At 46.3% G+C, this 15176-nt stretch overlaps 1 long non-coding RNA gene across 1 annotated transcript in view, besides 1 other annotated feature; it reads left to right on the forward strand.

The window, feature by feature from the left end:
* Nucleotides 1–14764, forward strand: part of LOC105374536 (uncharacterized) — a 44163-nt gene extending 29399 nt beyond the window's left edge. The window contains exon 4 of the long non-coding RNA XR_925494.3: nucleotides 13774–14764. This is a non-coding gene — a long non-coding RNA (uncharacterized LOC105374536). The remainder of the gene's footprint in view (nucleotides 1–13773) is intronic.
* Nucleotides 2708–3207: an enhancer, noted in NCBI's record as "NANOG-H3K4me1 hESC enhancer chr4:25458193-25458692 (GRCh37/hg19 assembly coordinates)". NCBI's record gives its function as "activates a minimal SCP1, AML or CMV promoter by ChIP-STARR-seq in primed H9 embryonic stem cells {active_cell/tissue: H9 hESC(primed)}" and the evidence as "EXISTENCE:reporter gene assay evidence [ECO:0000049][PMID:30033119]".
* Nucleotides 14765–15176: the final 412 nt, after the last annotated feature.

Genomic DNA, 15176 nt, shown 5'->3' on the forward strand with positions numbered 1-15176 from the left:
GATGCCAAAGTGTATTGAGAGGAAGCTGGAGTCTCTCTGAATCTGCTGTGATTCTGAAGGCTGCCTGATAAAAAAAAAAAAAAATTTTAAAAAAAGAGGAAACTGAGGCAGATCTTCAAGGGCCTTGTTTGCCTGCTAGAGGACCCCTGAAAGGCCTGGAGAGCTATTTCTTTCATCTCCTATGCCATCATTTCCTGTTTCCTATGTACGAAGGAGGTGCCTCAGTTTATGTGAAACCTATTTCTAGCGTGGTTGCACTCAAATTCCATCAGTGATGTTTAGAGTCATCATAAATACAAACTACCAGGAAAAGGAGGGAGACTGACAGTGATTGAATATCTCCCTTTTGGTGTCTGAAGCTTAGTTTGCATTAACAATGGAATCACTACAACCACCCTGAGCAGTGAGTAGGTGAGTGCAGTTAACATGTGCATTTTACAGGCTGGAGCACTGATGCTCAGAGGAATTACATCATTGCTCAAAATCACACAGATGGTAGAGTCAGGATTTGAACTCAATCCACCTACCCCAGAACCTGGGGGTTCTTGCAGTGAGAAGAATGGACTTCTCTATTCTTGCTTTTCCTGATTCCTCTGAGTACGCCAAGTGGCTTGGATCACTTGATTCTCCTTCCTCTGAAGAGCAGTGACAGCAGAACCTTATCTACGTGTTAGGTGTAGACAATCAGACAACTGCAGTACCAGTTCTTCTTTCCAAAGCCTCTTGGATGATTGTGAACCATGGCTAACACTCTTCTTTGCTTTTGTCAACTGGCCAGGCAGCAAAGAGGACACCTGGGCTTTGCTGATAAACTTAGGAATCTGGCACCTATCCTGCAGCCTGGAGAGAATTTATTTTCTCTTGGGGTGCTTGTGTGCTGCTTCTTTGCCAGGGCTTGGCTAGGGAAAGGCTGCATCATGCTTGTGGCACACAGAGCAAAGCTATGAGGATGTGAGTGGCCCCAGGTCTCAGTGATTTGAAATAAAGGGTGGCAGATGCAAATAAGATTTAGACACAGTGAAAATCTCCGGCTATATAAGGTGGAGACAGAGGACAGGGGTTAGGCATTTAAAACCCAGAAGTAGATGGAAAATTAATACCATCTTAATGCCTGATGGAACTATGTAAATAGTCACTCTCATTGTGTTTGCTGCTGTCAGTGCTTGGTTCTTTCTTGACATTTGTGTATTTTCTCAGATGGAAATACCTAGCCTGCTCTCCAGGAAAGAAGGCAAGGAGGTGCTCTCAGTTTCTGTGTCTGGATGAGTTATTTTTTTTCAGTAAGACTTGGTGCCCTGTGTATGTGTAGAGAGGGATGGAGAGAGGGGGATAGTTGCACATCAATGGCAGACGCAGTTTTGCCTCATCTTGGTGCTCCTGAGGAGGGAGAGATTAGAGCTTTGTGGTTTATTTGGGGGACAAGTTCTTAGTTTGAGGAAGAAAAGGGTATTAAATGACTGTCTTCGTCCATTTTATGAATACTAACAGACTAGATAATTTATAGTGAATAGAAATGTATTCGGCCCATGGTTCTGGAGGCTGGGAAGTCTGAGAGCATGGCATCGGCATCTGACAAGGGCCTTCATGCTGTGTCATCCAGTGGCAGAAGGCAGAAGGGCAAAAGGGAGTAAGAATGAGATCAAGAGAAGGCCGAGCTCACTGTTATAAAAAGTATGCTCTCCCAGTAATGAACTCGCCCTGACAATAATGGCATCAATCCATTCGTGAGGGCAGAGACCTCATGGCCTAATCACCTCTCAACATGGTTGCATTGAGATGTGACACATGAACAAGTTTCCAACACATGAACTTTGGGGGCCATATTCAAACCATAGCAATGACCCTTGATGACCCAGGACCCACCCCTTTTATAATTTTATCACTCTTCCATTCATATCATTCATTCAACAGATATATATTGGCTTTGGTTGCAAAAGTGGAAAGGAAAGCATCCTTTGTATCAATCAGAAAGGAACATGTCAATGGATTTCCCGTAACTGCTGACTTCACTCCCAACATTTCCCATGGTGGCCTCTGGAGTCTCTCCCCAGTTGTTGACCCTCCCTTCAACTCTCCACCTCCCAACCCGAAGGGAAACCAGACTCTAGCTTGAGGACCTCATTTACCCTGCAGCTCTTTTGAGAGGAGGGAGCTTCTTTCTCTGCATTCAACAACCCAGCTTAGAGCAGGTATAATCCCCATGCTCCTCATTGGGATTTTTAGTTCCACTGGGGCTCTGCCCATTTCCACAATACCCTGCCCCCTTGCACTCTTGTTGTCCTTGTCATTTGCTGACCTCCTGGTAATTCCCACATGCATCCATGGGCACCGCAGGCACCTGGCTCACTGTTTTTTTCTCCATTCTGGATGCATTACCCCCCAGGCCCTGCTCCCTCTCTTGGTTGTCACTGCTCAGGCCCTGCTCCCTTTCTTGGTATGCTCTAACATACCTTCTCCTCCTTCCTTAGACCTCCAACACCTCCTTCCTATCCTCACTCTCAGCTCATAATGTAGCCTTCTGTTTCACTGAGAAAATAGACGCCAACAGAAAAGATGCTCCTGCCAGCCTCCTGTCCACACATCTGCACTCTCTGCCTCCCCACCCATGACTTCTCTGCACTCTTTCTTTGGCCAGTCCTGCTTGCCTTCACCCTGCAGGGGCTTCCTCTTTCCTGCATCACCAGTTTCCCTCCCTCTTTTGGCTCATTCCCATCAACATACAAGTGTCCTATAAAACCCCCCACCTTTAAGATATAGAACTGCTTTTGACCCCAGCAGCCTCCAGCTGTGGCTCTATGTCTCTGCTCCTAACACAACTCCTGGAAGCAGCTGTCTCCACTTCTTGTCCTCCAATTCTCTCTTGAATGCACCCTAAGCTATCCTTTGTTCCCATACCACTACCTAGAAATGTGTCTTGTCAAGGATCATAGTGGCTCCCTCCTCCATGGCCATATCCAGGGTCTTATCTTAGTCCTCACTGTTCCTTACTCCCTACATGCCATGAGCCACCAAATGCTGTCAATTCTGGCCCTTAAATCTCTTGCCCATCTGTCCCCCTCCTCTCTGTCAACACTGCCCCGCCCTAGTTCAGACCTTGGCCCTTTTCACCTTCCCTGTTATAATAAATGCCCTCTTTACCTGTCTCCCAGCTACAGCTTTTCCCCTCCCCAAATACTCCCTCCCTGCTTCCCTCACAGATGCCAGAATGACCCAATCACCTCCTATCCTTCAAATCCAATGTTTGGGAATTCTAAAGCTCTTCCTTATTTTTTTTGACTCCTCTACTGACTACTCATTTCCTGAAACTTTCTCCCAACTTAGATGTGTCACTTCCTCTCTCAGAATTCTTCAGTGACTCCAGCACCTACAGGACACAGTGAAATCTCTCTTCCTGGAGTACCAGATTCCTCACAATCTAGCTCCGGACCCTGCTAAGCCTCTCCTCCTTACCGCTTTTTCCCCTGAATTTCTCTCCTAGCCCCTGTGGTTCTTCTGAATTTCCATCTCTCTTTGCACACAATGCTTCCTCTGGCTTGGATGCCTTCTCCCTCCCCTGCCTCCACTTCATCTTCCAAGTCTGTTGTCTCATTTTTCTCCCACAAATGTTTATAGCATTCCTTCCTTGTGCTAGACTCTGTCACAGCCCCAGAGTCTGAAGCCTCCTGCACCTCTATTGCAATCTCTCTGCTATCTGGCCCATCTGTTTCCCAGGGATTTTCATATTGCATAATTGTTGGCTTGCATGATTTTTTTTTTAAGAGGCATGGTCTTATTCTGTTGCCCAGGCTGTGGCACGATCATAGCTCATTGAAACCTCAACCTACTGGGCTCAAGTGATCCTTTTACCTGGGCCTCCCAAAATGTTGGAATTACAGGTGCAAGCCATCCCACCTGGCCTTGCTTGTATTCTTTTTCTCTTCTCACTAACCACAGCCTCTCATGTTTTTTGTTTTTTTTTTGTCTTTTTTTTTGTTGTTGTTTGTTTGTTTTTTGTATTTTAGTAGTGATGGGGTTTCACTATGTTGGCCAGGCTGGTCTGGAACTCCTGACCTCGTGATCCGCCCACCTCGGCCTCCCAAAGTGCTGAGATTACAGGTGTGAGCCATTGCACCCTGCCAGCTTTTCATTTTTGTGCCTCCAGAGTCAAGTCTGTGTTTGGCCCATGGTAGGTAATAAGTCAACATTTGTTGAAAGGATCAACGATGAATGAGCTATGCTAGAGGCCCCCAGTAATCGGGACTCTGGTATCTGAGCCACTGCCTCCTAGTTTTCCCATATGGTACATGGCAGGAGTAATATGTTGCCTTTGGGGAGCTTCACTGAGGACTCTAATCAGGATCCCACGTATCAACAAGGATGCTCTTAGAGCATTTTGTCTTTTCTATTAGAATGCCAGTTTTCTGCTTGTATTCTATCAATCCTCACTGAGGGATAGAGCCTGGCCTCCCATGGGGTGAGGGTAGGAGGCGAGCTTGGATTTTTGGATCCATCTGATCAGTTTCCTCCACAAAGATGGGAGACAATGGAGGGGAGAACCCTTTAGGGCAGAGCCCATGCCTGGTCTTCATTTCCCAGGATCTCACTGAATTGGTGGTGCTCAGTGCAGCCTCCAAGAAAGGTTTGCTGAGTGAATGATGAAGCCCTGTTTGCCTGTCACAGGTAATTTAATAGACTGCATGAGGCATATCAAAACAACTGGGAAATAGTTCCTTCTCTCAAAGATTCTACAATCTATTTGGGAAAAAAATGTATTGATTTGAATTTTAAAACTCCATGAAGAATGTTTTCCCCAATGTTATTTATCTATTCATTTATTTTTATTTTTATAGACTTAGTGCAGTTTTGTTACATGAATATATTTCATAGAGGCAAAATCTAGGCTTTTAGTATAACCATCAGCTGAATAGTGTTCATTGTTCCCATTAGGTAATTTCTCATCCCTCACCCCCATCCCACCCTCCCACCTTTTTGAATCTCCAGCGTCTTACTATTTTTCTTTTTTGAGACAAGGTCTGACTCTGGTTATGCAGGGTGGGGTGCAGTCCCACCATCTTGGCTCACTGCAACCTCAGCCTCCTGGGCTCAGGTGATTCTCCCACTTCAGTCTTACAAGTAGCTGGGATTACAGGCTAACGCCACCATACCTGGCTATTATTTTGTATTGTTAGTAGAGATGGGGTTTCACCATATTGTACAGGCTGATGAGTCTCCGACGTCTATGATTCCACTCTCCATATCCATGTGTACTCATTATTTAGCTTACACTTACAAGTTAGAACATGTAATATTTGACTTTCTGAATTATTTTTCTTAAGATAATGCCCTCCAGTTCCACCCATGTTGCTGCAAAAGACAAGATTTTATTCTTTTTTATTCTTTCTGATATATATAGATAGACCACATTTTCTTTATCCAGTTATCTGTTGGCAGACACTTAGGTTGATTCCACATCAACCCACATCACTTTGCTATTGTGAATAGTGTTGTGATAACATATGTATGGAAGTATCTTTTTGTTATAATGATTTCTTTCCCTTTGTGTAGCTACCCAGTAGTGGGACTGCTGGATCAAATGATAGTTCTTTGAGAAATCTCTATACTCATTCCAACAGAGGTTGTACTAATTCACATTCCCACCAACAGTGTATAAGTGTTTCCTTTTCTCAGCATTCTCACCAATGTCTGTTATTTTTGACTTTTTTTTTTTTTTTTTTTTTGAGACAAAGTCTCACTCTTATCACTGGAATGCAATGGCATGGTCTCGGCTAACTGCAACCTCTACCTCCCGGGTTCAAGAGATTCTCCTACCTCAGCCTCCCAAGTAGCTAGGAGTACAGGTGCTTGCCACCATGCCTGGCTAATTTTTTTTTTTTGTATTTTTAGCAGAGATGGGGTTTCACCATGTTGGCCAGGCTGGTCTTGAACTCCTGACCTCATCCGCCCGCCTTGGCCTCCCAAAGTGAGCCACCATGCCCAGCCTATTTTTGACTTTTTAATAGTAGTCATCATGACTGGTGTAAGATGTTTCTCATTGTGGTTTTTTAATTGTCCTAATGTGATTTAGAGTCCAACCAAGAGCAAAGGTGAAATCCTCTTTAGGCGTCAGATTATGATTTCTTTCTTCACCACACAATAAAAAAGAAAGGAGAGAAAGAAACTAAAGTCATCTCCCAGACGACTCTTGGCTCTTAGCTCCTGCTGAAGTTGGAGACCCTCATGGGATATTAGATAGGATGGGAAAAAGGGAAGAGGGAAGGCGTGAAACACAGCTCCCTTTATTTTTCTTCTTATTCAAGTAGTATCTTTTTATCTTTGGAATTTGGAAAGCAGAGATGAGTGTGAAAAAAACTGCCCCAAAACTTATTCAGAGATAATCGCCTTGTATTTTAGTGTAGTTTAATCTTTGTTTCTTAAAAACAAGACAAACTATATGTTTTTTGCTTTGTGTATAGGGATTCTTGTTGTTGTAATTACAAAAGCAACACATGGTCACTGTTGAAAGGGTTGGAAACATCAATAAGAAAAAGAAATGAGAATGAAAATTGCCCTCAGGGTCACCAAATAAACACCAAACAGTGTTGACATTAAAAGGTGTATTTTGTCTTCCTTGTTACTTCCCTCCTTTTTCATTTTCTACATGACACAAAGAAACAAAACTCCACAGATTTTTTTCATATTTTGTACCAAATTAGAAAACACAAATAAATAAAGGAATACAAATGAAAAGGGGAAAAGGCTGGGCATGGTGGCTCACACCTATAATCCCAGCTACTTGGGAGGCCATGGCAGGAGAATTGCTTGAGCCCAGGAGTTTGAGACCAGCCTGGTCAACATAGCGAGACCCCCATCTCTACAAAAAAATTTTAAAATTAGCCAAGCATGGTGGTGCATGCCTGAAATTTAGCTGTAATTATTTATTTAAAAATGCCCTTTTAGCTGGGTGTGGTGGCTCACACATGCAATCCCAGCACTTTGGGAGGCTGTGGCAGAAGGATGGCTTGAGCCCAGGAGTTGAAGACCAGCCTGGGCAACATAGTGAGATCCTGTCTCTAAAAAAAAAAAAAAAAAAAAAAAGAAGAGGCTGGGCACGGTGGCTCACACCTGTAATCCCAGCACTTTGGGAGGCCAAACCAGTTGGACCACCTGAGGTCAGGAGTTTGAGACCAGCCTGGCCAACATGGTGAAATCCCATCACTACTAAAAATACAAAAAAAATTAGCTGGGCAGGGTGGTGCACGCTTATAATCGCAGCTACTGAGGAGGCTGAGGCAGGAGAATTGCTTGAACCTGGCAGACAGAGGTTGCAGTGAGCTGAGATCGCCCCCCTGCACTCCAGCCTGGGTGACAGAGCATGACCCTGTCTCAAAAAAAAGGGGGGGTCACAATCTAGAGAGAAAGGAAGACCAGGAGATAGGTGGTTACCAAACAGTAGGCCAAGCACAAGACAGAGCTAATCACAGGGTGGGGCCGTGTGGGGCAGAGCTGAGGAGCATCTGGACCAGGAGGGGTGGCCAAGGGGAGATGGGCCTGAATCTACCCTTGAGGGATAAAATTAGCTACATAAAAGAAAAGCAGGCAGATGGGGAAGTGGTGATGGTGGCAGAAACCATAAGGAGATTTTAAAACCAGGGACTGGCATGTGCAGAAACATGGTGACATGTTGCCATCCTTTACCCTAGCCCAACAACACCCTGTACATAGAGGTTAGGATAAAAATTTGCTGAATGGATGGATGATCAAATACAAATTTGATTTTATTTGGAGACCATGGTAGGTAATAAATTAACATTTGTTGAAAGAATGAATGATGAATGAGCTACACTAGAGGCCCTCCAGTAATCAGGACTCCGGCATCTGAGCTGCTGCCTCCTGATTTTCCCACACGGCACATGGCAGGAGTAATATGCTGCTTATGAGGAGCTTCACTGAGGACTTTAACTGGGATCCCAAATATCAACAAGGATGCTCCCCTAGGCAAGATTTTCTCTGCTTCTTGGGTTGTTCTGCATTTGATGTTGTTAGAATGGGCAATGTCTGAGCTTGGCTGGCACAGAGAGACTTGAAGTTGGTTGTGCCCAGTTGGATCTGGTGCAGGAAGGGCTTGGCCATACATACTTCTTCAGCTGAATATTAATATTAATTGACATCTGAATGTTGGAGGTAGAATTCCTGCAAAACCAGTCCCAGGTGTTTCATGAAGCCTGGAGTGGGGTGGACTGAGTGGGGTGGGGTATTGCAAAGTTGTCACCTTTGACTGGTGTCAGGCTCTGGAGAGTAGGTCACAACAGTCACTGTCAACTCGGCCTCCTAATGAACCTCTAACCTGGCTTCCCTTCCTGCTTGCTTTGGAACCGGGCTGCCTGTTATCTTAAGGGCTTTCCATCTCTCTCTACCTCTCACTATACTAATCTCACTAAGTTATGACAGCAACCCCATGAAATGAATACCACAGACAAGGAAACTTGGTTTTGGAGAGGTGATGGGGCCACACAGGCCATTCAGCTGGTGAGTGGCAGAGCTCAATATCAAGCCTTGGTGTTTGTCTCTTCAGAGTTTGTTCTCTTAGCAACTCAGTCCGTTTGGGCTGCTGTAACAAACTATCATAGACCGAGGGGCTGATAAACAACAGTTTATTTCTCACAGTTCTGGAGGCTGGTACATCCAAGGCCAAGGCAGCAGAGTCAGTGTCTGATGGGGGCCCGTTTCCTGGTTCATGGATGGCCATCTTTTTGCTGTGTCTTCATGACAGGAATGGGGAGGGGGCTCTCTGGGCCCTCTCTTATAAGGACACTAATCCCATTCATGAGGGCTCCACATTTATTACGTAATTACCCCCACAACCTCTCCTCCAAATACCATCACATTGGGGTTTAGGAGCTGACATGAATTTTGGATGGGACACATTTAGTCTATAGTAGCAAGCACCCCACACCACTCCCTTTCAAACACCAGTTGGGCTCCTGTTGTGCCCTGGGCTAGCAGGTATCAGAGTCTTTAACCATTCATTCATTCATTTGTTTGCTGGCTTAACATCTTCCATCTCTTTGGGAATACAGTGCTCCTGAGGGCTGGGGCCTTACTCATTGTCATGTCACCCAGCCCCAGCACAGTTCCCGGTGTACAGAACACCTTTAGTCAACCTTGGCTGAAGCACCGGCCCCATGAGTGCAGGGTTTTTTGCCCATTTTCTTTCCTAATGTATCCTTAGTGCCTGGAATGGTGCCTGGCCCTTACATAGGCACATAATAAATAGTTATTGAAAGAATCCATGAACGGAAGGAGCAAATGTTAGACTTTGGGATACAAAGGTGAATGACCATAGCCTGTGCTCTGGGAACTTCACTGTTGAATGGGGGAGGCAGGCATTAGGGATGAGGCAATAAGAGGAGAAGGAACTCGGAGTGACCAGAGCCACCTGCTGCCTGGCCACCAGGCCCTCCTGTTGTCAGCAGGAAGATGTTGATAGGGGCTTTTCTAGGGGCTCGGGGTATGGCAGGTAATGAGACAGACAAAGTCCCTGCCTGCAAGGAGCTTATATTCTATTGGAATCATTTGCTGCCAGCTGGGGCCAGTTTGTTGATGGGTGAGGTTATGGCTTATAAAGGGAGAGTGGCTGGGCACAGTGGCTCACGCCTGTAATCTCAGCATTTTGGGAGGCCGAGGGGGCTGATCACTTGAGGCCAGGAGTTCCAGACCAGCCTGGCCAGCATGGTGAAAACCCATCTCAACTAAAATTACAAAAATTAGGCCGGGCGCCGTGGCTCACACCTGTAATCCCAGCACTTTGGGAGGCCGAGGCGGGCGGATCACTTGAGGTCGGGAGTTCAAGAACAGCCTGGCCAACATGAAGAAACCCCGTCTCTACTAAAAATACAAAAATTAGCCGGGCGTGTTGGCGCATGCCTGTAATCCCAGCTACTTGGGAGGCTGAGGCAGGAGAATCACCTGAACCTGGGAGGCGGAGGTTGTGGTGAGCCGAGATCACGCCATTGCACTCCAGCCTCGGCAACAAGAGTGGAACTCCATCTCAAAAAAACAAATAAATAAAAATAAAAATACAAAAATTAGCTGGGTGGCTGCACCTGTAATCCCATCTACTCGGGAGGCTGAGGCAGGAGAATCGCTTGAAGCTGGGAGGAAGAGGTTGCAGTGAGCTGAGATCCTGCCACTGCTCTCCAGCCTGGGCAACAGAGTGAGACTCTGTCTCAAAAATAAATAAATAAATAAAAATAAAGGGAGGGCACCCTTCCCCTCACAACAGCCAGGCTGTTAGTCGCTCAATCAGCAGAGACTTGCTGAGGCCTCCTGAAGACAGAGCCTTTGCTGGGTGCTTATTCCACATGGAAGGGAGCAAGAGTTTGCCCTCAGCCTGGTCAAATCAAGGAGATAAGAGACCCTCTCACGCCCACTGAGAAACAGAAAAACACCTTGGGGCTCAAAGTGCCCAAATTGCAGAACAGAGAAGTGCCTGCTGGAGTTAGGAGGAGCTGGTCATAGGCAGAGAGCTTCTGGATTTCTTGGGTAGTGAGAGAGGTTCCATGTGACAGGAGTGTCAAGCACTTAATGCAGTCCACCACACAGAGTCGCTCAGGAAGCGGTTGCTGGTGCTCAAAGGCTGAGGGTCATTGTGGGCTGAATGGCCCAGGAGCATCTTCACAGCCGAGCTATAAAACCTGGAGCATGGTGGCTCACTTAACCCCAGTGCTTTGGGAGACCTACGTGAGAGGATCACTTGGGTCCAGGAGTTTGAGACCAGCAACATAGTGAGACCGTGTCTCTAAAAAAAAATTAAAAATTAGCTGGACATAGTGGCATGCACCTCTGGTACCAGCTATTCAGGAGGCTAAGGCAGGAGGACTGCTGGAACCTGGGAGGTCAAGGCTGCAGTGAGCTATGATCACTATCTCCATGCCACTGTACATGAAGACATGGAGTATGGGTGACAGAGCAAGACCCTGTCTCAAAAACAAAAAACCAAATCTGGCTGCAGCAAGCGACCTTCTGTCCTGCAGCAGGTCTGGAGAAATGGGGATATAGGGCTGGTGACCCACCCCACCCCAGCATCATTTATTTACAAATTCACCCATTCATATGATGCATATTTACATGTGGTACTTTTACCATGAAACATCAGCTTAATCGGATTAATTACCTAAGAGTTTAACAAACAATTAACATTTATGACTTGATTTTTATAATAAGCCATATTGTAGCATAGCGTTAGGTTAGTTAGTGTTCACACATGAGGAGATTTTGACCAAAAGTCAGTCCTTCTTCTAGGCCAGGGAGTAAAAGTCTATGTGCTCTTAGGAAACCCACTCATTATAGGATGTCAGCTCTGTGTCAGGCACTGACCTGGGCATTGGGACTTCTGCTCTCAAGGAGTTTGTTTTCTAGAGAAGGAGCTAGACAATAGATAAATAAACAATAACTATATAGTGCTAGGGAGAAAAATTAGATAGCAGAGGAGGAGAGCAATAAAAATCCCAGTGTGTGCTGCCAGGGTGATCAGGGAACAGGGTGTCACCTGTTCTCTGAGCAGGTGACATTTGAGCAGGGACCTGAATCCAGGGAGGGAGGGATCCTCATGGGTGTCCACCTGCTCCAGGGACCTATGGGGAGGAAATCTGATTGTGTATATAACATGGTGATCATTCAGCAAAAGTTGGTGCCTCAGGGCTCACTGGTGTTAAGGTCATTGCTAGCCTTTGAGCATGTGACATCTCCAGGAACCCAAGATCGTGTGTCAGACAAAGAGGTAGAATGGTGGAGTGGAGTTGGGGAGCCATGTGGCTATCAGGAGGAAGCTCATTCCTGGGTAGAGAGAACAGCAAATGCAAAAACTGCGAGATGGGAAGGTGTTTGATATGTCCAAGCAATGGCAAGGAAGGTGGCGAGCCAGGAGGGTGGGTGGAGAAGGTGCACACCGCAGGAGGGAGGTCGGCAGGACCAGACCTCATACTATGTTTTGGGCCATAGGAAGGACTTGAGATTTGTTCTAAGTGGGATGGGAGCCACAGGAGGGTGTAGGTTGCAGAAGGCTCATCCTGACTGCTGTGTGGAGAGTAGATGGGTGCAGGTGGGTTGTGAGCAAGAATGGAACCGGTGGTCACCCAGTAGGTATTGCAGTAGTGGCTGTGTGGCAGATGGCAGTGGGGGCCAGGTGGCAGTGGTGTAATGGGTGAGAGGTGGGAGTCAGGTCAGGCAAACACCTAGGGCAGTCAAGAGGGAAGAGAAGTCACGGGGTATGGACAGGTCTGGTAGGGCTGGGCAGGGATGGTGTCCCTTTGTTAGTCGGGTGGGTGGGGTTGGCTACTGCAGATCATTGCGGTTGCGTGGGTGGAAACCCCAGGCTCAGGTGCTGTGCCCCTGTTGTCTGGGCCCCGTGCTCTTGATCCTGTGACTCTACTTGGAGGTCACTGGCTTACTGAGCCTCCTCCAAAGAGATGACTGCATTAATTTGCTGGGGCTGCCATAACAAAGTAGCATACACTGGGTGGCTTAAAAAACAAATTTATTCTCTCACATTTCTGGAGGCTTGATGTTTGAGATGAATGTGTAGCCAAGGTTGGTTCCCTCTGAGTGTCATGAGAGAAGGACCTGTCCCAGGCTCCTGTCCTTGGCTTGCAGATGGCCACCTTCCCCCTGTGTATGTCTCCATCATCTTCCCTCTATAACTCTCTGTGTCCAAATTTCCTCTGCTTCTTCTAAGGACACCAGTTATATTGGATTAAGGCCCATCCTAATAACCTCCTTTTAATTTAATTACCTCTTTTAAGACCCTGACTTCAAATATGGCTACATTCTGAGGTCCTTGGGGATGGGATTCCAACATATGAGTTTTGGTGGGGACACAGTTCAGCCCATAAGAATGATCCATGGCACCCAGCGTGGTGGCTCACACCTGTAGTCCCAGCGCTTTGTGAGGCTGAGGCAGACAGATCACTTGAGGTCAGGAGTTCGAGACCAGCCTGGCCAACATGGCGAAACTCTGTCTCTACTAAAAATACAAACATTAGCTGGGAGTGGTAGCAGGGGACTGTAATCCCAGCTACTCAGGAGGCTGAGGCAAAAGAATCACTTGAACCTGGGAGGCGGAGGGGGCTGCAATCGCGCCACTCTACTCCAGCCTGGGCGACAGAGGGAGACCCTGTCTCAAAACAAACAAACAAACAACAACAACAAAAAAAAACACAAAGAAACCCAAGAATGATCCATGGGCCCTGAGACGGGGTTTAGTGCTGGTTTGTCTTAGCTCATCTAAAGCACCAGGAGCTAGGAGGACACTCCCTCAGTCTCGGGCCCTTCCTGTAGCCTTCCTCTTCCGGTAACCCGGCCTTCCATTTCTGCCTCCTTTCCTGCCTGGGCTTGGAAACCCCTCTGCAGCACCAGCCTGAGTTGTTGTCAGTGGCTGTTGTTTTTACTGTCTGTCTTCCTTTCTTCCTCCTTCACTAGGTGAGCAGCCCCAGCCCCAGCAGTGGGGGACACTTTTCCCAGAGGGACGGCTCTTATGGGGCCACGTGACTTCATCCTCAGGCCATTTCATCGCAGGAAGCCTGATGTACTCTGCAGTTTCTCAGTGTTCTGACCATCTTGAGACCAATAATATCCCAGTTTCCTTTTGTTGTTGATTTTGGCCTTGGATGAGCAAATGTGATTAGGCAAAGTGTGTGAGATAGGAGATTTCATACAGTATCTGATGAGTAACAGAATGAGCACTGCGGAGGACAGCACTGTTATTTTTACCATCTGTCCTGGCCCTCTTTTCTTTAGGAAGGGGCCTGGAGATGCCAGCACCATTGAGTTCCAGGGCACAGATATTCATTGGATAATTACTACATTACATCCATCATCTGATTTACTTTCCATGTGTAACTGGATGAGGTGAGTATTTTCATCCTCATTTCAGATACGAAAAATCAGAGGCTCGAAAAGTTGAATTGATTTGCCCAAGGCCACATAGGAAAGGGAAGAGAAAGGATTTGAACCCAGGCATTGGACTGAAACCCAAAATGTTTTCATGCCACCCTTCTTGCTCCTTTTCTGAAACAAGGAGCTCCAGCAGTGCAGGACCAGCCCAGATTAGGGGGCTGCAAAAGGGAGAAGGCCAATATGATGATTGAAATAGGAGAAATAGGCCGGGCGTGGTGGTTCACTTGGAAGACTTACAGGATGACGACAGTAATAGAAGCCAAGACCTTTCCGTTTCTCCTCCTGGAAATTACACAAAAGCAACAAAGCAATACATACTCCTCTCCTCATCTCTAACCCTTCCCACGATTCACATTTTCAAGAATCTAAGAGGCAGAAATAATCCACAAATTCTACAATACCTGTAAGGGCTGCCCAAAATATCCAAGGTGAGACCTTACATGGGAGGAAGCACTGGTCTCAAGCTTGAGTGTCCCTTATCCAAAACGCTTGAGACCAGAAGTGTTTGGGATGTCTTTGGATTTGGAGATATTTGCATATACATCATGTAATAGCTTTAAAAACGGACCCCGGTCTAAACACAGAATTTATGTTTCACATCATCTTATACACCTAGCCTGAAGGTCATTTTGTACAATATTTTAAATAATTTTGTGCGTGAAACAAAGTTTGTGTATGTTGAACCATCAGAAAGCAAAAGTGTCCCTAGCCCTGCCACCCATGTAGATGATCCGTGGTTGTTTGGCATCACCATCATTCCTAACTTTTGAGTTTATATGTTATGGATAAATGATTCTTTTCTTTTCTTTTCTTTTTTCTTTCTTTCTTTTTTTTTTTTGAGACAGAGTTTTGCTCATGTTGCCCAGGCTGGAGTGCAAAGGCGTGATCTCTGCTCACTGCAACCTCTGCCTCCCAGGTTCAAGTGATTCTCCTGCCTCGGCTTCCCGAGTAGCTGGTATTACAGGCACCCGCCACCACCCTCACCTAATTTTTTGTATTTTTAGTAGAGATGGGGTTTCACATGTTGGCCAGGCTTGTCTCAGACTCCTGACCTCAAGTGATCCGCCTGCCTTGGCCTCCCAAAGTGCTGGGACGACAGGCGTGAGCCACCGCGCCTGGCCCTAAGCAATTATTTTCTGAAACTTATTCACACATAAGTACTTAGCAGTAAAAAATATGACACACCATTAATGCAGTGAGAAAATAAAATGTTCAGGGTAACTAAGCAGCACAGTAGCATCCCC

Source organism: Homo sapiens, chromosome 4 (genome assembly GCF_000001405.40).
Source record: "Homo sapiens chromosome 4, GRCh38.p14 Primary Assembly".
NCBI classification, from domain to species: Eukaryota; Metazoa; Chordata; class Mammalia; order Primates; family Hominidae; genus Homo; species Homo sapiens.